This window comes from Homo sapiens, chromosome 1 (assembly GCF_000001405.40).
Source record: "Homo sapiens chromosome 1, GRCh38.p14 Primary Assembly".
Lineage (NCBI taxonomy): Eukaryota > Metazoa > Chordata > Mammalia > Primates > Hominidae > Homo > Homo sapiens.
This window is the reverse complement of record NC_000001.11, coordinates 35,917,591-35,943,775: the sequence shown is the minus strand read 5'-3', so window position 1 is coordinate 35,943,775 and position 26,185 is coordinate 35,917,591. Positions and strand designations below refer to the sequence as shown.

Genomic DNA, 26,185 nt, shown 5'->3' with positions numbered 1-26,185 from the left:
AAAACACAAAAAATTAGCCAGGTGTGCACCTGTAGTCCCAGCTACTCAGAAGACTGAGGTGGTAGAATCGCTTGAGCCCCGGAGGTGGAGGTTACAGTGAGCCGAGATCATGCCACTGCACTCCAGCCTGGGTGATAGCGCGAGACCCTTTTACTTAAAAAAAAAAAAAAAAAAGGGCTGGGGGTGGTGGCTCACACCTGTAATCCTAGCACTTTGGGAGGCCAAGGCAGGTGGATCACCTGAGGTTGGGAGTTCAAGACCAGCCTGGCCAACATGGTGAAACCCTGTCTCTACTAAAATTCAAAAATTAGCCAGGCATGATGGCAGGCACCTGTAATCCCAGATACCTGGGAGGCTGGGATGACAGAACTGCTTGAACCTGGGAGACAGTAGCTGCAGTGAGCCGAGATTGTGCCACTGCACTCCAGCCTGGGCAGCTAAGTGAGATTCTGTCCCAAAAAAAAAAAAAAAAAAGATGGGCATGGCACGCCTGTAATCCCAACACTCTGGGAAGCCAAGGCGGGAGGATCATTTGAGGTCAGGAGTTCGAGAATAGCCTGGCCAACATGGTGAAACATCATCTCCACCAAAAAAATACAAAAAAATTACCTGGGTGTGGTTGTGTGCACCTGTAGCCACCAGCTACTTGGGAGGCTGAGGCAGGAGAATCACTTGAACCTGGGAGGTGGAGGCTGCAGTGAGCTGAGATCATGCCACTGCACTCCCGCCTGGGTGACAGAGCGAGACTCCGTCTCAAAAAAAAAAACAAAACCAGTCACAGAATGACAAACACTATATAATTTATATGATTCCACTTACATGAGGTACCTAGAGTAGTCAATTTCATAAGAAACAGGAAGTAGACGTGTGGTCACCGGGAGTTGAGATATGAGCAAATGCAGATTTGTTAAATGGATATAGTTTCAGTTATAGAAAATGAAAAGAGTTGTGCAGATTGGCTGCACAACACTGTGAATGTACCGAACACTACTGACTATACACAAAAATGGTTAAGATGGTAAATTTAATGGTTGTATATTTTACATTTTTTAATCAAAAAAATTTAAAGAAAACCTGTGATGTCCAGCACTAAATTTTTGAAGCTCAAAATACAGCTTTGTTAATCAAAATTCAAACAATAAATTAATAAACTATTATCTGAATAAACTAAAAATTACATTAAAAAAATCTTAAAAGTCCTCCAAATAAATTAAATCCACAATTTAAAATACTTCCACATACATACAAAAAGATTCCAGATCCAGATGGCTTCACTAGAGAATTATACCAAACATTTAAGGAAAAAAATAACACCGATGTTATACAAACACTTCCAGAGAACAGAAAAGAAGTAAACACACCCCAATACAATTTATGATGCCAGAAAAATTCTGGTACTAAAACCTGACAAAAACACTATAAAAAAGGAAAATCATAAGCTAATCTAATTCACGAATATACATGCAAAAATCCTAACAAAATGTTAAATTAAATCCAACAATATATCAAAAGAATGAGTTTGTATCAGGAATAAAAAATTGGGCTAACAATAACTTTTATTCAGTGTAGATGAAAAGAGACTAAAATGCTGCCTGAATCATTTGTTTTTAAATTCCGCTTTGTGTTTTTTTAAAAATCTCTTCAGAGGGCATAATCTTTCCTATCCTAGCCTGAGATAAGTAATACTGTACAAATTCCGTACTAGCCCTTAGTACTGGCTCTGCCAATTATCTAATCATTTGACTGTCACCAAATACTGTCCCTGAATTTGTTTCCTGATCTAAAAAATGAAAATAATACTTGATCTGCCTCTTTCTTATGAAACTTGTCAAGATCAACTTAGAAAATCCACAAATTCTAAAATTTATCAAGTTCTGACTATGTCTCAGGCAATGTGCTAAGTGCTTTTATTTTACACCATGCAGGGCTAAGTTTTTGTATTTCTGGTAGAGACAGGGTTTCACCATGTTGCCCAGGCTCGTCCTGAACTCCTGAGAACAACTGATCTGCCCACCTTGGCCTCCCAAAATACTGGGATTACAGGTGTGAGCCACCAAGCCTGGCCTGCTAGGTGCTTTTACATGCATTATCTCATTTAATCTTCATACCAACCCTATAAAGGAAGGAATCATTTTACAGATGAGGAAAACTGAAATAATTTGCCTAAAATTTTTATAGCTAGTAAGTAGGAGAATTGGGATGGTAACCTGCCATGCTGGACTCTCTGTTCTGTTCCATTAGTTGTTTCTTTCACCAATACCACATTATCTTGATTACAGTAGCTTTATTGTGAGTCTTGAAGTTAGTTAGATAGTGTCAGCCCTCTGAGTTCTGAGTGAAAAAGTGTTATGATCTGACTTAAATTTTTTTTTAAGTATCACTCCAGCTGCTGTATGAAAAATTATACATAAGGGTACAAGCAGGGAGACCAGTCAGCAGACTATGTGGCTGTCTAGGTGAAAGATAATGTTGGCTAGAACTACAGTAGTACAGTTAGGGGAGTGATGTGGATGTGGAAAACATTTAGAAGGTAGGCCTGACAGGAATTGTTAAATGGACTAGATGTGGGGTATGAGGAGAAACATTCTCAAGGTTTTTTGGTCTGTACAACTGAAAGAACAGAAGTGTCATTTACTGAGATAGGAAAGACTCAGTGATAGTAGCAAGTTTGGAGGGGAAATCAAGAGGATTTTAAGGATATGCTAAATTTGAGGTGTCTACAAGTAGATGAATAGTAAGCAGTTAGATGAGTGTGGAGTTCAGAGGAGAGGTCCAGGCTGGAGGTGTAAATGTGGGTGTCCTCAGCATAGAAGTGTTATTTAAAACCACTGGATTAGAGATCAGACAGACTGTGGCATGGATACAGAATACTAACCCCAAGGATACTCCCAATATTTAGAAATTAGGGAAATGAAAACAGCAAAGGAACTGGAAAAGTAACAGCCAACAAGGTTGGAGGAGGACCTGGAGAGAGTGGTACCCTGAAAACCAAATGGAGAAAAACAGTGTTTCAAGAAGAAAATGTCATTAGATGTGGATGAAATAAAATGAAGATCTGGGAACTATTGGGTTTAGCTAAGTCTTTGCTGACCTTGATAAAAACAATTCCAGTCAAGTGCTAGGGACAAAAACCCAACTGTAGTAAGTTCAAAAAGAATGGCCTGAATTTGATCAAGCCCTTGGATCCACTAGCAGTTTACAGGAAATTCAAAGGATTATGTTAAATTAAATTGTAAAGATGGAACCAGCAAAATCCAGATCGTGAAAAATTCTAAAAGGACAAACAGCCCATAAATTGCAGAGGAGAAAAACAAGGAGAGAAAACTTACCGATTAAGACACTTAAAAGACATATCGATCAATCACAATGTGTAGAACTTATTTGGATTTTGAATCAAAAATTTTTTTTAGGCTGGGCGTGGTGGCTCATGCCTGTAATCCCAGCACTCTGGGAGGCTGACGCGGGCGGATCACCTGAGGTCAGGAGTTCAAGACCAGCCTGGCCAACATGGTGAAACCCCGTCTCTACTAAAAATACAAAAATTAGCCGGGCGTCATGGCGCATGCCTGTAATCCCAGCTACTCAGGAGGCTGAGGCAGGAGAATCGCTTGAACCTGGGAGGTGAAGGTTGCAGTCAGCCAAGATCATGCCACTGAACTCCAGCCTGGGCAACAGAGTGAGACTGTATCTCAAAAAAAAAAAAATTTTTTTTTAAGGCAAACAGTTTAAAAAATAATATGTGAGACAAGTAAAAATTTGAACAATGATTAGAAATTTTTATAAGTGATTATTATTTTGCTGTGATAATGGTACTATATCATGAGTCCATAACTTTTATAGTTACTACTAAATATGAATAAAATCATATTATACCTAGAATATGCTTCAAAAATATAAAAGAGGGAAAAGTAGAAGAGAAGCGATTGGACGTGGGTTGATGACTGCGTTTGGGTGGTGGGTACAATAGAGTTTATTATACAGTTCTGCCTATATGTATACATCCTAAATTCTCTATAGTAAAATATCATAAAAAAGAGAGAAATGGCCATTTCCTTTGCATGTGTCATCTCTTCTTACTATCCCATTGTACAGATAAGAAAATTAAGGTTAAGGAAGATTAAATGCACTGCCCAAAGTAGCAGTTAACTTTTTCTGATAGACTATTTTAGGGAAGTTTTAGGTTCACAGCAAAATTGAACAGAAGGTAGAGATTTCCCATATGTCCCAGGCCTCCTGCCCTGACATACACACAGACACCCTACTATCAACATCCTCTACAAGAGGAGAACATTTGCACTCAAACCTATACCGACACATCATTAATAAATTTCAGTTAATTTAAGAGCCAGAATCTGTCTCTAAAACCCATGTTTTTTACACTATATCATACTGTCAATTTTTTTCTCCATGGTCATTACTTTACCTGGTGCTTTTTAAATAATTTGGCACAAAGCAAAATTCTGTTGCATGAATAAGCAATGAACAGAATTCTATAGATACTAATCAAGTTTAGTATCCAGAAAATATTCTGGATATTTTCATAATATCCAGAATATTATGAAATATTTACATTACATAATAATGTAAATTAGCAGATGAAACAATTCTGTCAATACAATGAATTATACTTCCAATGAAGCATATTTTAGTTATTTAACAAATACATACTGCCCACTAGAGTTGGAAATATAACTACACAGAAATACAAAGCACTATCTGGACTTTCTCCCTATATCAAACTTTTCTTTCAGCAGTTATTGTATGTACTGGATAATAACTAACCAAACTAAATTTCAAACATAAAACCATACATTTCCAAAGCATACATGTGTCCATGTTGTTCACTCATCTAGTAATCCAATGTGTACCAGTTGGAAAGTCTAAAGCTAAACAATAGCCTACAGCAAATGTGACTGATGAAAAAAAACAAGCAGTGAATAAATCAAAATCAACTATAACATATACTATAGCCAATTACTAACTTATAGATTTTCACTGGAAACATTTTCTTTAATATTCATGGAATACTGTTTCAATAATTCTACTTCTAACAATTTATCCAAAAGCAAGCACTGGACCAGTATACAAACACATATGTACTAGAATACTTACAAAGTTTTAGTCATAATAACAAAAAACTGGAAAAAATCTAAACCACTATCAATGAGACTGATCAATATACAGATAAAATTAAATGCTATGTACTCAGTATAAATTATTATACTATTATATAGATGTAAGTAATGATATGGGAAAGATACTTACGACACATTACTAAGTGGAAAAAGAAGGTTAGAAACAATTCGTATGATAAATATATGGACAGACGGATGGATGTCTGGGAAGATATACAAGAAAGAGTTAACAATGGTTTCATCTGGAGGATAGGATCATACTTTCATCTTCTATTTGAGACATTCTTATATCGTTTGTTTTTTAAAGTAATAAACATGTAGTTATTATTTTATAATTGGAAAAAGAATGCATTTTTGGGCCGGGCACAGTGGCTCATACCTGTAATCCCAGCACTTCAGTAGGCCAAGAAGGGTGGATCACCTGAGGTCAGGTCTGGTTCAAGACCAGCCTGACTAACATGGTGAAACCCCATCTCCACTAAAAATACAAAAATTAGCTGGACGTGGTGGCGGGCACCTGTAATCCCAGCTACTAGGGAGACTGAGGCAGGATAATTGCTTGAGCCCAGGAGGCGGAGGTTGCAGTGAGCCGAGATCATGCCATTGCACTCCAGCCTGGGCGACAGAGCAAGACTCCGTCTCAAAAAAAAAAAAAAAAAAGAATACATTTTTGTTTTGGAAAAAGAAATATATTGTGTTGATCTCAAAATCTGACTTAATGAAATGTCTCTGATTTTATACATGTTAAGTCTGCAAAGCTACGTAGTAAACAGCATGGAACTTCAGGAACCTCCTACCTGCTAATTCCACTTTTTCATTCAATGAATCTGTCCAAACATACCGCACTTATTATTAGGCTCATTACAATTAAATAATCACTTATAGAACATCCAGCCAGTTGAGGGTTAAGCTTATCAGGTGGCAGTATGGGAAACAATTTATTTCTTTTTTTGAGCAGAATCTCGCACTGTGGTCCAGGCTGGAGGGCAGTGGCACGATCTTGGCTCACTGCAACCTCCGCCTCCCAGGTTCAAGCAATTCTCTTGTCTCAGCTTCCCAAGTGGCTGAATTACAGGTGTACGCCACCATGCCCAGCTAATTTTTGTATTTTTAATAGAGATGGGGTTTCACCATGTTGGTTAGGCTGGTCTTGAACTCCTAACCTCATGATCTGCCTGCTTCAGCCTCCTAAAGTGCTGGGATTACAGGTGGGAGCCACCACATCCGGCTGGGAAACAATTTTTTTTTTTTTTTGAGTTGCCCAGGCTGGAGTGCAATGCCGTGACCTCAACTCACTGCAATGTCCACCTCCCATGTTCAAAGGATTCTCCTGCCTCAGCCTCCCGAGTAGCGGGTATTACAGGCACCCGCCACTATGCCCGGCTAATTTTTTGTATTTTTAGTAGAGACGAGGTTTCACCATTTTGGTCAGGCTAGTCTCGAACTCCTGACCTCAGCTGATCCACCTGCCTCGGCCTCCCAAAGCACTGAGATTACAGGAGTGAGAAACAATTTTTAAAAGGCATTTCCTCCCTTGAAAATAAAAGGGGACATTTCCCTTGTTATTAGTAAGAGCCCATTTTGCAATCTATTCTTTCATCATTTTTAAAGTTCACAGAAATACTATGTCTCTCTCATATTGTTAGAAGATTCAGAAATCAGTTAAAATACCAAGTATTAGTAATGACTCAAAAGTAGTATTATGTAAGCTTACAATTGAGAACACATTCTTGTAAAATTTCTTCTACAAATGAAAAACCTAAAAATATGGGTGGGCATGGTGGCTCACTCCTGCAATCCCAGCATTTTGGGAGGCTGAGGCAGGAGGATCATTTGAGCCTAGGAATTCAAGACCAGCCTGTGCAACATAGTAAGATCCCGTCTCTACAAAAAATATTTTTTTAATCTAAAAATGTCTCACATCAATAGACTGTAGATACCACGTTCTGATTTCCCAAGAACTTGACAATTTGGAAATGATGTATAAAATAACTGGCTGATGTAAAACAAGGAATTCTAGGGCAGGTGCAGTGGCTCATGCCTGTAATCCCAGCACTCTGGGAGGCCGAGGTGAGTGGACTACCTGAGGTCAGGAGTTCAAGACCAGCCTGGCCAACATGGTGAAATCCCATCTCTACTAAAAATACTGAGCCAAGATCACACCATTGCACTCTAGCCTGGGCGACGAGAGCAAAACTCTGTCTCAAACAAACAAACAAACAAAAAACAAGGAATTCTTCATTTCCTTAAACTGACATTTCAGACTAATGCACACTTTTTTTTATTATAACCAAACCACAAAATGCCCACATTTTAATGTATAAGAGAAAGCATCAGTTGTGTGACAAGGTTTTGCTGAATCTCAATAGTTGGTTTTTTTTTTTTAAGCAGTGGCTAGCCAAAGAAAGTCATTAATATTAACACAGATAATGGCAGAAAACCACAGAAACTCCAAATACAGAAAGGCTGTTCATGTATCCTAACAGCATAACCATTATGGCTGAAAAACCACACAATATTCTTTCTCACATCTGTTTTGTTAATGAGCCAAGAATGAGGGTCTATTCAGTATCCAAGACAACTGAATTAGAAGGTAGGAATGTCTGGTAAATGCTGTTCATCTCAACAGTCTGAGACTAAACAGGTCTGGAAAGGATACTGATCTTAAATAAATTATCTTTTTAGTTTTACCTTCCTGAAAACAGAATTATCACTTTGGTCTTTTTTCCCCTACCCATTAGCAACAACAAAAACTTATAAATTACTTTTTAAGATTCTAGTTTTAAGTACTATAAGATAATATGTTTTGTTAGATTAATAATATTTTAATTCACCTTTCAGGTAGATCCTCAAGTATTTTAAGAATATAGAAACCGATGTGAAACTAGATGGCTATATTATAAAGCAAAATGGTATTCAACTAGAATCCATCAGCTTAGACAATTTGGCAAGAAATCTACTCTGAGCCAGGGTTTTTCCATATACAACAGAGAATTCTTCCAGGAAATGTCCCCTTTACAGGGCCCCAGGCCTCTTTGCATACTGTCAGGCCAGGCAGTAACTAAAAAACGCAATGTTCCCATTGGAAGATATAAACTAATACAAATTAATTCTAAATTACCAACTTATTACATACAATTCTCCAAAAAAGCAAAATGAAGTAGCATGTAGATATCTTTTCATTCATTCTAATGGCTTTCCTAAATAACTTAATTCCTTAAGTTTTAAAAAACTAAACAGATTAGTTTAGAATTTGGTTTAAAAATGTAAAGAACGGTTATATGAGGCTGATAGAATCATGGGTAATTTTGTAAATGTCTTCATGTTAACTGAATTATATTTGAAGGTTATCTATATGTCTTTTCCCTTAAGTCTTTTTTTAGAAGGAAAAATTTATTTTATGTCTCAATTTTTGTTTTCCCTCGGAGTCCCTTCATTGAAAGAGAAATTCTAAACCAAATATCAAAACAATCTTGCACATTTTTATAAGTCCCACTGCCAGTCAAGTGCAATAAATATATTTTTTTTAAGTCATAATGGTCACTCCAGGGCAGCATAAGCCAAAATTTAAGTGACAACCCAGTAGAAAAACCTTTATCACTTTCAAAATTCATGCCCACAGACAGAGCAGTAATTTGATTTTTTTTCTTCAAGGCAAAGAACTACAAGTGAGAAAATTTATATAACGACAAAAACATTTCTCAAAGTTATTAAAGAAGATTGTTTTCTGGGAGGCCGAGGCAGGCAGATCACCTGAGGTCAGGAGTTCAAGACCAGCCTGGCCAACATGGTGAAACCCCGTCTCTACTAAAAATACAAAAAATTAGCCAGGCATGGTGGTGCGCGCCTGTAATCCCATCTACTCGGGAGGCTGAGACAAGAGAATCACTTGAACCCAGGAGGCAGAGGCTGCAGTGAGCCAATATCATGCCACTGCACTCCAGCCTAGGCGACAGAGCAAGCAAGACTCCATCTCAAAAAAAATAAATAAATAAAAAGAAGATTGTTTTAAATACTAAATTGGGACCCTGATGGCATTACATATTTTAGTAGGTATTTTTGACCCATAATTTTTATCTACATCATTCAAATCCCAATCTTGATTTAGTTCTAGCTTCCCATATATGCAACTTTTATTCCTTTGGAACTTGGTTCCAAATAACTTTTCTAAAACTTTTATTATTAAATAAACACAGAACTCTAAAACAACTATTTTCAGACATGAATTTAAAAGTGTAAATAAGAAAGAAACAGTCTATTCACTTTTGCAAGACTGTATAAAACTTCCACCAAACATCAAACAATTTGCATGTCATTAATTTAAGGTAAAAGTAAATGTTTTTCTTCCATTATAAAGTGTAGTTCCTCTGTCCTAAACGGTAGTCTAACATTACCTGAAAACATAGACTAGAATAGTATGGACCTAAAAAATGAGTACTCAGGAGAAGTAACATCATCAAGCATTTCTGCAGCTCCCTATTCCCACTTTATTTAGAACTGAAACATAACCTATACTCTTAGTTCAGCAGTAATTAGACCATAAAAAACGGTGTTTCATCAGATGTTCCCCAACTAAAGAGTCACAGACACAGATGTTAAACTGTTGATTAATTTTTAACTAATTTCACCTTTTTTTTTGTTAAATCAAAGTTCTGATGGTACTAAATCAGTAGATTGCACAAGATATCCTTAAAAAGCATTTAAAATATTTCATATGAAAGAACAAATACTAACTTATATGGTATTTGTGTTCGAGGTTCCCTAATGTAAACAAATTTAACAGTTTTCTGTGTATCCACCGAGCAACTAGAATTTAAAATATCCTATCACAAGATGATTCCTGAGAATCTCCACAAAAAAGAAAAACTTATGGCAGAATTGGAAAGCCAAGATTCAATACTGAGTCAATAGACTTTTTGAGAACATTTATACTAAAATTTTAAAATCAAAATACGTGTCAAATGATGATTTTTTTTTTTTTTTTTTTTTTTTTTTTTTTTGAGACAGGGTCTTGCTCCGTCACCCAGGCTGGAGTTAGTGGCGCGATCATAGCTCACTGCAATCTCTGCCTTCTGGGCTCAATCCATTCTCCTGCCTCAGCCTCCCAAGTAGCTAGGACTGGAGACATGTGCCACAATTCTCGGCTAAGTTTTCTGTTTTTTGTAGAGGCAGGTCTCACTATGTTACCTAGGCTGGTCTCCAACTGCTGGGCTCAAGCGATCATCCTTCCTCAGCCTCCCAAAGTGCTGAGATTACAGGCATGAACCACCACACCCAGCCTAAATTATGGATTTAAAATTTAGTTGCACAGCTATGCTTTCAACTTAAAGCTAAGCATACCAATTATATACAAGTCTCAGGAATAATGAAAATTTTGTTTCTGATGACAATCTTGAGCCAAAGTATAGCTTATCTTCATTATTAGGCTACATTCAATCATGTATAAACTGTACTGAAGAAAAAACTTTACTTTTCAAGAGACCCAGGCATATAGTTGATAATCTAACTACACACTTCCCCAAATGTGAAGACAGCTAAATGGGTATCCATTTCAGCAATGGGACACCCAAAAAAGAAGAGGTAAAATGTATTTTCTGAGCTGTACTTGGCTTAGTTGTACCAGTTGACTAGGTGGTTTGATGTAACAAATGTTTTCTAAGACATTTCCCATATATATGGGCACAATATCATATGAAAAACCCTAAGGAGAAAAAGAAAAAACTTTAAAAACTTTTTTGAAATATCTTTAAAAGTTTTGGGATGATTAATAAAGGGTCTGACCTTCATGACTTGTTTTCCAGACTTGACAACAGGACAGTTATGTACAAAGATCACCTATGGTCCCAAATAATCACATCTCCTGTACAGTAAAACAGTAGTATGGTAATTTTTTTAAAAGGGCAGGACAGTTTCAGAAATACACAAATCAAAACTGAATAAGAGTCGAAATCTTTTCACAATCCAGACAGACCTTTTAAGACGATATGGGGGAAAGCGAAACAATGGAGCAGGAAAAAGAGATATGGTCTAAATTGATTAGAGAAACTTCCATGTAACAAAATTTGTAAAAAAAAAAAAAAAAAATTTGTAACTCTCTCCCCATCTCATCTCCCCAGTTTGAGTGCTTTTTTGCAACCATTTGACACGTAATCTATTCAACAAAGTTCTTAGCTATCGTTATGTCACTGGTTTCTTTTACGTAAGTTTTTCTTATATCAAATTGGCAAAAAGAGATATGGAATTCAGGAACTTGTAACACCATTAGTAACAAGACAGCCCCGCAAATATTTTGAAAATTAATTTACGAACTTGTGATCGTCTGAAGCATACTTTCAAATTTAATAAGCCAAGCATGATCATTTGTTAGGCAAACCGTTATGCAACACCTTTCTGTCCCTGAATTAATTACTTTAGAACCATAAACAATACTTTTCCTTTTTTAAGGACAAGTACTATCCATGTTGCAATTTTCTCTTAAGACTGCAAAACTGCTGCTCTTGCCCCCAGAGATAAAGCAGTTTTCTTAAATTCCAAATTTCCAGGAATATGACAACTACTTCTCTAAGGAATAGAGAATGAAAAAAAATATACTGTCAGCAATTTTAAGAACCACCTCCTCGTATAAGCAGGGATCCAGGCTGCTATGACATTTCCAAGCTCCTCAGAAACTATCTACCATGCTGCCACAAACAACAGAAAAGAACTCGAGGGTAGGAGCAATGCCATGTTGAATTTAACGTTGCACCAACACCTCCTTCGAACTTAATCTGAAGTTATCCGTTATCTCAGCCTATCTTCACAACTATCCTAAGAGGTAGGTAAGGGAGCTGGCTGGCTGCCCAGCCTCTACGGAACACACAACCTGGCTAAAGGACACGCACTCCAACTAGACAATGGCAAACCATTCTAAAGTCTAGAAGAAGGGTACTCCAGCAAAGAGTAATGCCGCCTAGATAACCCCAAACTTAAATCCTCCAAGCGTTTCCCCGCCTCGCAGTTTCGCCGACTCAGGGGCCCCCGGGGAACTGGGGCTGGGCTGCGGGGAGGTCGCGGAGGAGCAGGGCGAGGGGCGGGAGACCGAGCGATGCCCGCCCGACGCTCACCTCGCGCACCTGGGCCGGGCGGGAGGAGCAGGGATGCTCAGAGGACAGTAGCTGGGTGACATCCCCTACCTGGCCCAGCTACTCTGACTCACCTGCGGAGCCGATTTCCATTCATGGAGCTGGGGGGAGTGCTTCGAGGGAGAACGGAGCCCGCCACTGGCGGCAAGGAGGCGGCCCGGGGGGCGACGCGGCGCGACGCGACGGGCACTCTCACTCGGCCCCGAGGCGGGGGCGGCGACGGCTTCCCCTGAGCAACCGCACTCCGAAAGCTCTGGGCCGGAAGAGTCGCGGACGGAAAACGGCACAGGACTAGGCGAGAGGAAGGGGAGATGTGAGGCGCGGACAGAGGGGAGTCCCGTCCGGAAGTTGCATCGCCCGCGGCCGCCGACGCTCCCACCGCTCCTCCACGACTGCGGGCCGCCGCCGCCGACCTGCCCGGGGCCGCCCCGGAAGCTCGCCGGCGTCAGTTCCGCTGCCTGGCTTGCCCGGCGTCCTCGCCTCGCCTCTGGGCCCCGAGCCGTGCCGGAGCGACGTCGGGGCAGGAGCGGCCGGCGCGGAGGACGCCGGGGAGGTGTCCGGGAGCCGGGCCACATGCGGCGGGCTCGGCCGTACCCCGCCGGGCCGTGCCGGCCGGAGACAACGCGGAGGGGCAGGACTACTCGCGCCGCACGAGTGGGGGCGGTGCCTGTCTGCGACGACGTCGCGGCTGGCGGCGGGGCTTACCTGAGGAGTAGCCTACCTGGAGCCGGCGGGTGAAGGACCCCGAACTGCCGCGGAGGCCCCGAGCCGAGCCCGCTGGGGTAGGGCCACCCTCCTTCCTGAGCCCCCGCCACGCCCAGTCCGATCCACCCCACGCGCCGCCTCCTCACAGGCGGTCAAGTGACCACCGCAATTGACCTAAGTCCTAGGCTGCTTTAACGACCATTTTTAGGAAAAAAAAAATGTATTATAGTTTGGAAAAGATGACTAACAAACAGGACACTACACAAACATCAGATCGAGTAATTTCCATGTTTAAAACTCTTTAATAGCGCCTCGTCACACTTGAAAACCCAAACTCCTTTCCAGGGTGAAAACGCACGGCGTAAATGGGCCCCGCCTGTGCTACAGCTATACTGGTTGGCTTCCAATTCTCCCAACGGGCCAACCGCTGCTTTTTTCTGACTTGGAGCTTCTCTGCTTTTGGTTCCCTTGGCCAGGAACCCTCTCTCTCTTCTCCACCCTCCCCTTACGCCCTACCCCACAGCTTTTTTTTGCGTCTCAACGAAAGACATCTGAGACGCCTTTTCCGGACCACCCATCTATGGTGGGGCACCTGTTAGTCTACTACAGTATTGCCTTGGTAGCCCTTTGCCCAGTCTGTTATTTATTTACTACTTGTGTGCCCCCCACCTCACTTGAATGTCAGGCAAATATTAGGTCCTTAATAAATATTTGTTGCCTTAATGAAACATACTATTTTATTCAGGCTGAGGAATCATTCATAATTTCTCCCCATGTCCCTATGCTTCAGTAATACGGTTTTTTTTAATCAAAATAATTTTTTAAAGAGGAAAAGGAGAAAGAATATCCTATCTTCAGTTCCCCTCACTGTGGGACTTTGGATCAGTCACTTGATCTCTCTGGGCTTCAATTTTCTTATCTGAAAAATTGAGAGAACAGCATGTACCTTACACAGTTTGTAAGGTTAGGTAATATACATAAAGCACAGAGAAAATCCTCCCCAAATGTTAGTGAATAACACAAGTATTTACTATTTACCATTTTAAAGTACTTACCATATAATATTAAACAATAAATGTATGGGACTCAAAACCACATCTGACTCCAATTCTTACTTTCTTCTTCTTTCACATCCCTACCCCCATGGCTGAAAATACCCTCCCCAATTTTAAAATATCAAATTAAATGTCACCAGATGAAACACTGCATCTTAAAAGTCATTTTTAATCCTCGACTGTACACAATCCAAATCTTGGTAGCAGCATCTGACAGGGTAAATACCAACTCTTGTGCAAGGGTCTTTTATATCCTCAACCCCTCTGATTCTGGAACCGGTTCCCTAAACAAAGGCAGACTTCTTCAGCTTCTTCCAGAATAGACATTAGACATGGTGACAGTGATAAACCTTTGGGGTGGGCTAGTCTTTTTCAACATTGATGGAGCAGAATTTACACCCTCTGATTCAATCCATCTCAGTAAATGTCAATGATGCCTTCCTATCTACTTCTGCTATCCAGGAACCCACCTCTTTAGAGTCAATGCATGTGAAAGGCTCATGATTTGTAATATCAAGAAGTAGGAAGACAAAGAGGTTTGAAGGATTCTGCCAAAGGCAAAGCTGTATGAGGCTCTCTCCTGACTACATGTACACCCTATATTTGGATAACTCATTCCCAACTGAGTCTGCTCTTAAGGGTACAGAGCAGGGTCATTGGGTATTATCTTAACTGTCATTGCCCCAGTACCTAGAACAGTGCCAGTACCTGGCACATAGCAGCATTCAGTATATTTGTTGGATTGATGGACAGATAGGTGAATAAATAAATGAGCTTCAAGAATGGGGCTCAGCAAACAAGCTAAAACTCTGCCCTCATACCTGGTGACACTGGTTGTTCTGAGAAGAAAGAAATACAGAAATAGTACAAAATCTCAGGTGCAGAGAAATCAGTGCGCTCTGAAAGTTGAACCTCCTCAGGAGCCATCAAATACCCAGTGCAAAATTTCCTAAAATATGATACAAAAGTATAAACTAGAACAGAAAAAAGCAACAAACGGAGCTTTAATAAATTCACAAAATTTTAAACTTTTGCTCTTCAAAATGAAAAGGCAAGCCACAGACTGGGAAAAATAGATGTAAAAGATATATCCAACAAAGGACTTGTGTTTAAAATGAATAAAGAACTCTTACAACTCAATAAAACTCAATTTTGAAACAGGTAAAAGAGGCTGGGCCCAGTGGCTTGTGGCTTATGCCTGTAATTCCAGCACTTTGGGAGGCCGAGGCGGGAGGATAGCTTGAAGCTAAGAGAGGCCAGCCTGGGCAATACTAATGAGACCGAACTGCTACAAAAAAAATTTTTTTTTTAATTAGCTGGGCATGGTGGTGTGCGCCTGTAAGCCCAGCTACTCAGGAGGCTGAGGTGGGAGGATTGCTTGAGCCCAGGAGGCAGAAACTGCAGTGAGCCGCGATCATGAGACTGCACTCCAGCCTGGGTGACAGAGTGAGACACTGTCTCAAAAACAACAAATACAATGGGTAAAAGATGCAAACAACAAAGATATGGGGATAGTAAGTGAGCACATGAAAAGATGATCAATATCACTGGTCACTAATGAGCTACCAAATACTCAGTGCATGCAGGAAAGACAGAGTGGCCAGCTGCCGCTTTAAGTGTCATGTCCCTGCCCAGTAAGTCAGGCTCAGGGACACACAGTTCACACTTCCCTCCCTGCTGCCGCTATTATTCTACTCTGCTTAGGACTTTCTACTCCTAGGCTTCTTGTGTTAGACAAGAAACATCACTGGATGAGGAGAGCAACTGAGTACAATCCTCTCACATGGGCCAAGATTAGAGTCAACTGGGCACCTGAGTTCAAATCTCTTCTCCTAGACCATCAGTTTCTACAAGGTAGAAAGTAAGTTACTTTATACTCTAGCAAGATACAATATAAAACATGGGCTTTAGGGACAGACACAGCTAACACTGAAGGCCCTCTCTTACTTGCTGTGAGCCTGGGAAAGTCACTCTGATTCATGTTTCTCATCTGTAAAAGTTGAAGTACCTTTGAGACCAGATGCTGCTTATCCAACAGCCCTTATCTCCTTTCTTGCTAGTAGACATGACTGAACTTTCTAGTCTACACGACTCAAAGGATAATTCATTAATCTAAGCCACTCCTGATGGATGATCTTACTTGCTTTGCCAATGACAGGAGTGAGATGACCCATTTCTAGCAAAGCCATGAGGCCGTATCTGTTGGAGCTTCCAGGGGAAGACTTCCTTGCTTTAGAAGGACACAGAAAAATCTGTCTCTCTTTTGCCAGACACGGTTCTGTCAGCATTTCCTTCCCAGAATTACAGTAGCCATATTGGGACCATGAGGCGAACTGGCGTGAGGATAAACATGGAGGATGGCAGAGCAAAAAAATTTCAAGAAACTGAGTCTTTGGTGTTATCACTGAGCCACTGAATTAACCAACCTTGGAGTAACATTAAATTAGGATTTCTTGTCATATGAAATGATAGTTTTCTTATTTAAGAAAAATTTAATCAGAATTTTGTAATATGCAATTGAAGATAACTGATAAACTATTTCGCATGTAAAGATGCTGTAAGATGCAATTATATAAGATACTGTAGAAAACACCTAGCTAAGTACTTCAAAGTACCCAAACAAACCCTTCCTCCTTTTGCAGCTCACTCTCATTAATAGCCCACAGGCCTTTTCCAAAAACCTGGCTAAAAGTTCCCACTGTCTCTTTTAAGAGGAAAGTTCCCTCCCTTTGGAAAATGGGGACAAAGGACCAAAGGCTCCCTAGAAAGGTCCCTCAATATTATTATACTTTGTCCAAAAAAAAAAAAAAAAAAACCCCAAACAAAAAACCATTGCCAAGAGGATGGTGGTGAAGATGCTACAGTCCAGAACAACAGGACACAGTATGTTCCTGCAGGGTAAGCCACAAAGGCCTAAAAAACCTTGGTATGATATACTGGAGAAGGCAGTTGTGCGTAAGTGGAAAACTAAATGCATCTAATTCCCCAGCAAATCCACTTTTCCAGCTCTTCCTTCTTGACACAGCTGCTTTGAAGGAGTACTTCTGTCATGCTGTGTGCCTTCTAAGCCGGCCTAGGCATTTCTCAGCCTATCATCAGAGGAATAAATGTCTGCAAAGCTAGAACAAAAATGGTGAGCTAATTTTCCAATTCGACATTACTTCCCATTCAGGCAGTAGACAGCAGCTTAAGGATGGCCCAGACTCAGAAATTCCAACTAGGCTTTTCCTTGCACTAACTCTTTCGTTTAGCCACCAAATCCTAATTGCCATGAGATTCTGGGGTCTGCTACACCAAGAGATACCAAACAAATACCCAGCCTGACTACCCCAAGGCAACTGCTAGTCCAGAATGTGCTCCAGCATATTTTGCCAATTGACAGAGCAGAAGGAAGGATGCTCAACCAGTAATGAAAAGGAATGCCCAGAGGTGCCAGGACAAGCCTTCACTGAAAACCTTGAGCTCCAGGACCAAACAATGCAGGCTCCCAGTCTTTTTAACTTGAGTAGCAACCACAGGCAAATCCTGAAGGCTTTTCAATATCAATCTTTTCTAAAACTAAAGTTTATAGCAAAATTTGCCATAATCATCCTCCTCCTATTCCCCCTGCTAAGTTCTTTATTTCTGCCTCACTCGGAGTCATAAATTTATGTCTTATTTCAACTGGTCAAAATCTGCTCCATGTCCAATCTGCTCTTCAAGTTCAACCAACCTCCCTAACCCTTGCTGCTGAAAAGAAGCATGGGGCTGGCTGGCTCTTTCCCAAGGGAGTCTGCCAGATGATAGCCACAGGCCAATTTACAACACTTGGCCTCCAGAGGAATGCTAGGTCCACGTATGTACACACTGGCTGCCACTGACGATTTCTCACTGGGGTATCCGCCAGGATCCTTCTCTGAGCCTTCTTACCCCCATGCATAGAAATAACAATGCTCTAGCAGTACCAGGAAGAATGCCAGAATTTACATGCTTGACAATTATACCACCAGCTTAAAGTACAAAACCATAGAACCTCCAACTTGGGGTGAGTGGGAAAAGACAATGATAATGTAGTTAAGTATCTGCTTACCTGAAGATTCAGGAATTCTGAGTTCATCCTGTGTACTCCTATCACTTCTTGATCCACTGCCCACCCAGCCCATACTCATAAACCACAGACTACTAGCCTATTTCAATTATATTTGCACATACTGATCTGTTGGTATATGCCATGACCCTGAGATGACAAAAATGAAGAGAATATAGCTTCTGCTCCTAGGAGTTCATAGGCTCTAAAGAAGACAAATTATGGAAATAAATATAGTATGCTACTATTATCTAGTATGCTGGAACATGGTTTATAATATTGGCTAGGAACAAAATTAGGTTTTGTTTATTCTTTTACAATTATCTCCTAATTGGTGGTAGTTGTGGTGAACTTGAAAGTCCTAGTTTTAGCCATTTTAGAATTGGTTTTTCCAATGCTCATTTTCAAGAAATACTGGAGAATAACGTAAGTAAGTCATAGAGTTACAAGATCCCCAAAAGATGGGGAGTAGAAAGGTAAAACACACAGAAAAAAAAAGAACTCCCTCTCTGCAGCAGTTCATGTTGTTAATCACTCCCTTCATGAACCTTCTTCTACTCTGATTTCTTCTCCTACCTCACCAAACTGGCTAAACAAAGAAACAAAAAACCCACAAACTGTCTACCAGTGATCTGTCACCTTAAGATCTGCTTCCTCCCCCGAACCTTTAAATTGAGTTTCTTAGGGGGCTGTATACTAGTTTCTCTTCTCTTTTTCTAAGCTATCTCATTCATGCCTATGGCTTTAACTACCATCTATAAGACTCCTGTATCTATAAATGCAGTTTTACAGTCTTACCTGAGCACCAACCTGTGTTTACTGGACACCTTACCCTTACTGCCCCACAAACACCTCAAAACTCAGTCTATACAACATTCTGTTTCTTCAAAAACTCCCCACCTTCCTTCTACAGTCTCCCCGTCACCCCCATCTTGACTGGCAGAATGTCCCAACACACTCCTATGGTCAAGGAGAAACCTGGGAGCTAACCTCTACTCCTGTCTTCTCCTCCCACCAGCCATCGAGTCCTATTAATTCTACCTCGTCTCTCAAATCTGTCCCTTCCTCCCTATATTCGTTGTTGTAGCCTTATTCCACTCCCTCATTATCTTCCTCCTATGCCAGGGGACTATTTGGCTAATCATATCCCCCACCAAACTTAATTCCCTTAATGAGACGGACACTATTTTCCTCATTTTGAATTGTGCCTCCCCTCCCCACAATACTGCTGGCACAGTGCTTTGCATGTTTGTTGAATGAAGAATAAATGAAGGCTCTGTGAAGTATTCCTGCATAACAATCTACAGTATTATTCTCACCTAAAATCTATTAGAGATGTAATCAGTCCCAAAAGTTTGTTTTGCTGGTAGGAAAAAAAAAGAGAAAGACCGCACTTTAGAAATAGAAGCCACTGTTGTCTTTATAAAACACAGAATTGTGCTGCTGCTGCTGCTGCTGCTGATGTTGCTTGCTTCAGAAGGAACTGTACATTACAGCTGCTGGGATAATTTCACAATGGACTGGACAAGGTACAGCTCAAAGCAGGACACAAACACAAATCTCAAAGGGAAACAAATGCAAACAAGTACACAGCTGTGGGGATCCAGAGACATTTCCCCATCCATGCTGGACTTGAGAGGGATAAAAAGTTTAGAAACTAAAGTGAAAACCAGAGTAGTCACACATGCCCACCACATGGCTGCTAAGTGCAACATCACATACCAATTAGGCTGGACTGTGTGCACAGGAAAGTAATTTCATTTTTCCTTATTGCTACTACACCAAGGGACTCAGTGCATTCAACAAATGTCTTTACTTGCACAATTCTTGGAGGGTTTCCTATTTTCCTCTGTAAAGAAGAAAATCTCCCTTTCCCACCTCATTCTGTTTTGTTTTTAGCTCATTCCTTCCCCTCCCTTTCTTGGATGCCCAAACAGCAGCCAGAGGCTCTAAGTCAGTATGAGTAGAGTAAGGGAGAGCACCAACCCAGCCTCTCTCCCTGCCCAGGGAGAAGGCAAGTCCTATTAAGTCGGAGGAAAGCGAAAACCAGAAAATACCTCCTTCCCAATCTGCTTAGAAGGCCAAATAGTAAAAAGTGCCCTGCATATCCCTGCCATGATCAGATTTTAAGAAGGAAGGTATTCCAGCTACCATCCTGGATTGGCCTAGGCCCCATATATAAATAAAAATAACGTCCCCCAATGTAGTTTCCAAAACTGCCTTTTGGCTAGTTTGAGATGATTTTTCTACCCTGATGGGGAAGAAACGTCCAACCTTGTTAGTTACACATGATTCCAGGTCCAAAACTGTCCCACCAGCCTTACAGATATCCTATGGGCCAGCTAATAGTCAGTGCACCCTTGGCTGCCCATCTTGAGTGCTGGCCTTATTCACAAACAGAAAAAAAAAGTATCCAAAAACACTGCTGCTTAGCTAAATAGGAGGCCACAGAGAAGCTATCTAGCAGGTGGGCATTAGGAGCTTTTTAGGGAAGTTTCAAATTTCTAGGTACCTTCTTCGGCTTTATGTTAAGCCTAAGTTCCCAGCAACAGTAGCCCCAGGCTTATCCCTGGAGGCCAGTGTAGCACCTCGATCCCTAATGGATCAGGTTGGACTGGATAAACAATCAAAGAACAGTGCTCTCCTTTCCCACCTTTTATTCAAATTCTCTCCATTCTCTTCTCATCACTCTTTTTCCTTTATGTCCATCCCCTAACACTCAAACCCAGGATACCCAAATAGCTCAACCCTAAGACAATCTCAGAAAAGCCAGGCCCCAGGTAAAGAGAAAAAGAACCAGATTTAGAAAAAGCAATGAGAGAAACCAGCTCCAAGGAGTGGACAGGTGTGGAAAATGCCAGAAACCCTCCTGACTTCACACAAGTTGGGCAGGTCAGTTGCTCTTCTCTAGTATAAGCTTGAGGGCAGTCCAGCCCAGGTGGACATCTCTGGGCTTGGGGAACAGGTTCTTGGTCTTCTGCAGTCAAGGAGCTAAGCCTGACCCTGCCAGCTAACAGTGGGATCATTGCAGCCATGCAGAGATTTCATCATCACATAGGCAGACAGGCAGGCAGGCAGGCAGGCAGGCAGGCAGGCCGGCCAGCAAGCAAGCAGAGTGAATAGAAGAAAAGGGAAAGGAAGCCAGGCAAAGAGAGAAGAGGAAAAGGAAGGCAAAACAGTGGTACAAAGGGAACAAGAGACCCAACTAAGAGGATGAGGCTGGGGGTCCCCCAAGCACTTCCTTGAAGCTTGGGTAAGAAGCACCACTTAAACCAAATCCACATGAGCCAAAGCTTGCTGCCAACACCACTTCTCCATCTGCATGCACCACCTTTCAAACAGGAATAATCTCAAGGTCGGGGTATTTTTCAAGTCTCAAAAATTATCTTTTTACAAAAAAATCAGAGTAAGAACTCATTTCTTGTCATTGCCCAAAGCTGATTCTCTTGCTTTTTATTTCTTGAATGGCATAAGCCACGTCAAAGGGCTAAAAATGCATTTCAAGCCCCAGCTGAAAACCAACTGGAGAGAGTGAGGCAAAGAGAGAAAAGGAGAGAACACAAACTTGTTGCTGGGAGTAGAGGCTGCCACCTGCTCCCTATGGACATTTGCAAATGCTGGTGAATGACTGGACCCTCCAGGAATAGTGCCCTGATCCTAGCCCCAAAATGTATCCAAGTGGAGAACATGCAGAGCCCACTGTCCCAGGAGAACTCCCCTCCCCAAAGGGTGACAGAACACGAAGTAGACTGTATATGAAGGCAATGGACAGGGCAGATGGAGTGTTAGCATCACTCTCTTTAGGCACTTGTGTAAGGAATGTAGGCTCTCCAGTGAGCTGCCTCCTCCCAGAGCCCTCCATTCTGTTCTTCAGCTGGGCTTGTGCCTATAGGGCACCCCATGCTGTAGCCAGCAGGAAAAAAGTAAAGGAGGAGTTACTCAACAGTCCTGATGCTTTCTCCATAATGAATGTTTGTGCTACGTTTTGTGAGTTGCTGAACAATGTAGCCAACCAGAACAGAACCTGGGATAGATTGTTTTGCATAGCAAATCCGGGTCATACAAGGGCAGCTAAGGGGAGGAAATGGTAGTTCTAACTCTACAGGCCAGGATTTAGACCCTTCTTCCTCCAGCTGGCCTCCAAGCCTGGGCTAGGTCTAAAGTAATCATGGCTTCATCACCAGATCAGGATAGATCCAAGCCCAGGCTCCTCAAAGAGGAAATTCCACACTGAAGTTGCAACTCCCCATCCCAAGCAGTGGGGCAGGAAAAAAATGAACAGTCAAGGAAAAAGGGCAGGGGGGATGCTTGCTTCAAGGCCAACAGAGACCAAGCTAGAACCACCACCTTCTCCAGTCCTGCAAGACAGCCAAACCCCATGTCTCAAGACAAAAAAAAAAAAAAAAAAAAGTCCATGCCACCCACCCACATGCCCTAGTGGGAAACCAGGAAAAATTCATTTTTGTAAACAGAAGCAATAGGGAGCAGCAAAATTCCCCAGCCTGTCCACAGGACACACTGCAATCTAGGATGAGCCAAAGGGTCAGAGGACAGTCCAGGGGAAGGAAAAAGATGCACTTGCAAGAAAGAGTGCAGGACAGTGCAGAGGAGGGAGGCTATAGCAAGAAAAAGGTATTATCTGCACAGAGGAAGGATGGAGCCTGGACCCCATCTTGGGGCGATAACCACCCCCTCCCTACCTAGCCAGGTCAGAGAACAAATCAGGTACACAGTTCATTCTGATGGCTCAATGTTTCTGGGATATAAACTCATCAGGCATGGGAAGGATTTCCAAATTTTGGCAATACACTCAAGTTATGGTATAAAAATAACATTTTGTTTTCTCTCTTTTTTCTCATTTTAGACCTAAGAGTTTTTTGTTATAAGACACCCCAGTTAAGAAATATTGAAACATAAGAGACTTGACCATCAAGGGAGAAAAGAAGCCAAGAGTGAAAAATGCTATGAAAGTAACTCCAGACCTGGGCGGGGCGGGAGGTAGGAGGAATAAGGAGAAAAGGAGGCATAAGTGGAAAGGCCAGGGGCCTGTCATCTCAGCAGCTCCGAGACTTGTCATGTTTGAAAGTGCAAATGTCAATGGATTTTAACCATCTTGAGGTTGTGATCTTTTAAAAAGCTCAATGAATGAGGAAGTCAATTCCTTCAAATGCAAAATAGCTGGCTTTCTGGCTGGAGGTTTGTTGGGTCTGGGGTATTTCTTCCCCATCTACCTCCTCTCCCACCCCCACCCCATTCCCCAAAGAAAGGTACAAAAGGTTGCAGTTCTGCAGCATTACCGTTACAGGGAAGGCACTGGTTACCCACCAGCGGGCGGAAGGAAGACAGGGTCGTGTCACTTCAAAGCTAAGTGCCATAGTGCCTTAAGTATTACTAGGGGCTGGATGTCTGTCAGGGAGGAGAAGTAAGGTGGGGCAGAAAATGTGGACAGAGAGGAATAAGGGTAAGGTGGGGGGTGGCAGCTGGGGGAGGAGCAACCAAAACCATTAAAAAATCTTCCTACAAACTGGATTCTGAACCCATTAAAACATCTAGTATCCTAAAATATTGATCTGGGTCTGGTTTCATTTTTCTTCTTAAACAAATCTAGTCCTTTTCTGATTAAGGCTCCTAAAAAATCCTTCCCTCCTCCCACCCACTTTCTCAAGCCCCTCACTTTCCCATCTAAAGTATCAAACCCAAACCTAACCAGCTTTTGTCTGCAGGGCTACAGAGTTGACCTTACCAAGCTGTCAAGCATGAGTCTTTAGCACTGTGAGTCACATGAGACACCTGTGTGTATGGTGGGCACCAGTGCTGCCCCTTTTGGTCCAGTGGGGTCAGGGCCAGATGTGACAAGATGGGGTGAGGGGTGGGGGACATGAGGTTGATATCAGAGATTTCTGGCTGGTGGTCTGTCTTGCTGGCCCTGTTCCCCACTCTTACACCACCTCTATAGAAGGAAACAAGGCATCCTACACTCCTCCCTACCCCACCTCCCTCCTCCTTGCTTCCTCTGGATTTGGGTGGCACAGCTCCTGGGGCTTGGAAAGCTTTCTTCTATCCAGTGAGGTAACAGCGTTCTGCCTTCAAGCGAAGTACATGGTGCGCAGAGTATCCTGGTGAACCTGCACGGCTTTGGCCAGGGCCTGGGGGTCCCGCCCATTGCTCTGCCCCGATATGTGGCTCCCCTCTCCACTGAAAAGGAAAAAATGAAAGAAGTCCTTCCTGGTGAACTGAGAGCTGCTGCTAATTCCCTCGCCCAGCCCTGGGATGCCAATTCCCATACCAACTTAAGAGAGAAACCCAACCCAGGATTGGGCAGACGAGCCCAATGACACCAAATTGGACAGCACTCATTTCCTTCTACCCAAGGAAAGTTAAGAAGATCTGGCACAATAGGCTGAAGCAAAAAGGAGGCCAACCTGATCCCAGGCCTCACCTGTCATGCTCCTTGTCCACCAGGTGGTATCGTGCCCGGAAAGCCACCAGGCGGGCATAGTAGGCAGGTGCTGGGATAGAGACAGAGCGTGTGCATCGTACGTAAGTGTGGCACAGCTGGTACGTCAGGATCTGGAGCTCATCTGCTGTGAAACGGTTGTCATCCCAAAGAACATAGTAATGGGATGGTCGGCTGGTGCCCTGGGAAGATAGGAAGGTGAGGGGTCCCAGGCTGGGCAGAGAAGATGGCTGATAATAGGGGAACAGGATCACTGTTAAGAATATGGCTGGGTAGATAATTCACCCATGAACAGGCAGATGCAAAACTACCAATGTCATAAAGCACTCTTCTTATAAGCAACCTGCAAGTGTACTCAGGGCTTATTACGACAGCAGTCCTGGCCGGGCACAGTGGCTCATGCCTGTAATCCCAGCACTTTGGGAGGCCAAGGTGGGTGGATCACTTGAGGTCAGGAGTTCAAGAACAGCAGGGCCAAAATGGTGAAACCCTGTCTCTACTAAAAATACAAAAATTAGCTGGGCATGGTGGCGCATGCTTGTAATCCCAGCTACTTGGGAGGCTGAGGCGGGAAGGCAGGAAGACTGCTTAAACCCAGAAGGTGGAGGTTGCAGTTAGCTGAAATTGTGCCACTGCACTCCAGCCTGGGGGACAGAGTGAGACTCCGCCTCAAAACAAAACAAAACAGAACAAACAGAAAAGAGAGCAATCCTAATTTGGATGTCATTCAGTGATGACTGATACATTCTAGAGGCAATATGAATGAACAACTCATCTTTGACCCATTGGAACCACAAGATAAAGCCCAGCTACCTGGATGCCTGCGTGGCTGCACAGATAGAAGTCAAACTCAAATGGGTGGGTGATGTTGGTGTCCACTGTGGTCCCAGCTGGGATGTTACCACTCTTCCCAATCTGTATAGAGACAAACACAACCAAGATCCCAAGACCTGCCTGGCCCTAACCAGGACCCTGGCTCAATTCTACTCTGATTTCACCAAAATCCCAAGAACAAAGCCAAAGTTGCTATTCCCTGAGGGTACTGAATCTTAAAATAATATGCTTCTAAAGTCACACAGACCTGTGTTCAAGTCCTATTAGCTGTGTGATCTTAGCAAGTCGTTTAACCTTTCTGAGGTTAAATTGGAGATAATAATAATACGTACCTCACAGGGTTGCTGTGAGGAAGACGCCTTGTACAGTATCTGGCACATAGGAGGAGTTCAATAAATGGTAGTTCCCTTCCCCTTCTCTAGGAGCTGGTCTATATATGGGGTCTAGGCCAGGGAGCTAGGAGGAGGGAAAGGAAGTATAAGGGAAGGACGGGAGGAGGTGGACACTAGTGAAGGCGGTGGCAGAGGAAGGACCACAAGAGCTAGGAGGAGGGAAGGGGCCAGGGAGGATAGATAGGACAAGGACTAAATCCCCAGCCTTTATCTCAAGGGCTTCTTCTCTATTAAGATAAGGGAGACAGAAGGAGGGGATGGGAGGCCTCAGTCCCTCACTCACTCGCTCATTCTTGTCAGCACAGAAAAGGCGGGTGTGATGGCGTTTCTGCACCACAATATAAGTGATCCCAGGCTGGTAGTCCTTTTCCAGTTTGATGCAGGCATCACGAATGGCCAGTAGCTCATAGTGGAGTATCT

General features: G+C 42.3%; 2 protein-coding genes across 9 annotated transcripts in view, besides 6 other annotated features; both read right to left on the bottom strand.

Annotated features, from left to right (window-relative positions):
* Positions 1-13,058, bottom strand: part of AGO3 (argonaute RISC catalytic component 3) — a 141,783-nt gene extending 128,725 nt beyond the window's left edge. For 2 of the 5 annotated variants that reach the window (NM_024852.4, NM_177422.3), the window contains exon 1: positions 12,331-12,671. In NM_024852.4, the coding sequence (NP_079128.2) occupies positions 12,331-12,349 (19 nt within the window). In that variant the 5' untranslated portion in view covers positions 12,350-12,671. Of the gene's footprint in view, positions 1-10,916; positions 12,672-12,961 lie in introns of those variants that run through there. The other 3 variants (XM_017000523.3, XM_005270575.5, XM_011540879.4) reach the window with 3 other exon arrangements.
* Positions 11,484-12,006: an enhancer, noted in NCBI's record as "H3K27ac hESC enhancer chr1:36397371-36397893 (GRCh37/hg19 assembly coordinates)". NCBI's record gives its function as "activates a minimal SCP1, AML or CMV promoter by ChIP-STARR-seq in primed H9 embryonic stem cells {active_cell/tissue: H9 hESC(primed)}" and the evidence as "EXISTENCE:reporter gene assay evidence [ECO:0000049][PMID:30033119]".
* Positions 12,007-12,531: an enhancer, noted in NCBI's record as "H3K27ac hESC enhancer chr1:36396846-36397370 (GRCh37/hg19 assembly coordinates)". NCBI's record gives its function as "activates a minimal SCP1, AML or CMV promoter by ChIP-STARR-seq in primed H9 embryonic stem cells {active_cell/tissue: H9 hESC(primed)}" and the evidence as "EXISTENCE:reporter gene assay evidence [ECO:0000049][PMID:30033119]".
* Positions 12,169-12,508: a silencer, noted in NCBI's record as "silent region_651". NCBI's record gives its function as "represses an Ori minimal core promoter by ATAC-STARR-seq in GM12878 lymphoblastoid cells {active_cell/tissue: GM12878}" and the evidence as "EXISTENCE:reporter gene assay evidence [ECO:0000049][PMID:35858748]".
* Positions 12,519-13,028: a silencer, noted in NCBI's record as "silent region_650". NCBI's record gives its function as "represses an Ori minimal core promoter by ATAC-STARR-seq in GM12878 lymphoblastoid cells {active_cell/tissue: GM12878}" and the evidence as "EXISTENCE:reporter gene assay evidence [ECO:0000049][PMID:35858748]".
* Positions 12,519-13,055: a biological region, named in NCBI's record as "H3K27ac hESC enhancer GRCh37_chr1:36396322-36396845".
* Positions 12,532-13,055: an enhancer, noted in NCBI's record as "H3K27ac hESC enhancer chr1:36396322-36396845 (GRCh37/hg19 assembly coordinates)". NCBI's record gives its function as "activates a minimal SCP1, AML or CMV promoter by ChIP-STARR-seq in primed H9 embryonic stem cells {active_cell/tissue: H9 hESC(primed)}" and the evidence as "EXISTENCE:reporter gene assay evidence [ECO:0000049][PMID:30033119]".
* AGO1 (argonaute RISC component 1) overlaps positions 13,244-26,185 on the bottom strand; it is a 60,772-nt gene continuing 47,830 nt past the window's right edge. For all 4 annotated transcript variants that reach the window (NM_001317123.2, XM_011541236.3, NM_012199.5 and 1 more), the window contains exons 16-19: positions 26,049-26,183; positions 25,353-25,454; positions 24,522-24,721; positions 13,244-24,277 (exon numbers count right to left, since the gene is read on the bottom strand). In NM_001317123.2, the coding sequence (NP_001304052.1) occupies positions 24,169-24,277; positions 24,522-24,721; positions 25,353-25,454; positions 26,049-26,183 (546 nt within the window). In that variant the 3' untranslated portion in view covers positions 13,244-24,168. The remainder of the gene's footprint in view (positions 24,278-24,521; positions 24,722-25,352; positions 25,455-26,048; positions 26,184-26,185) is intronic.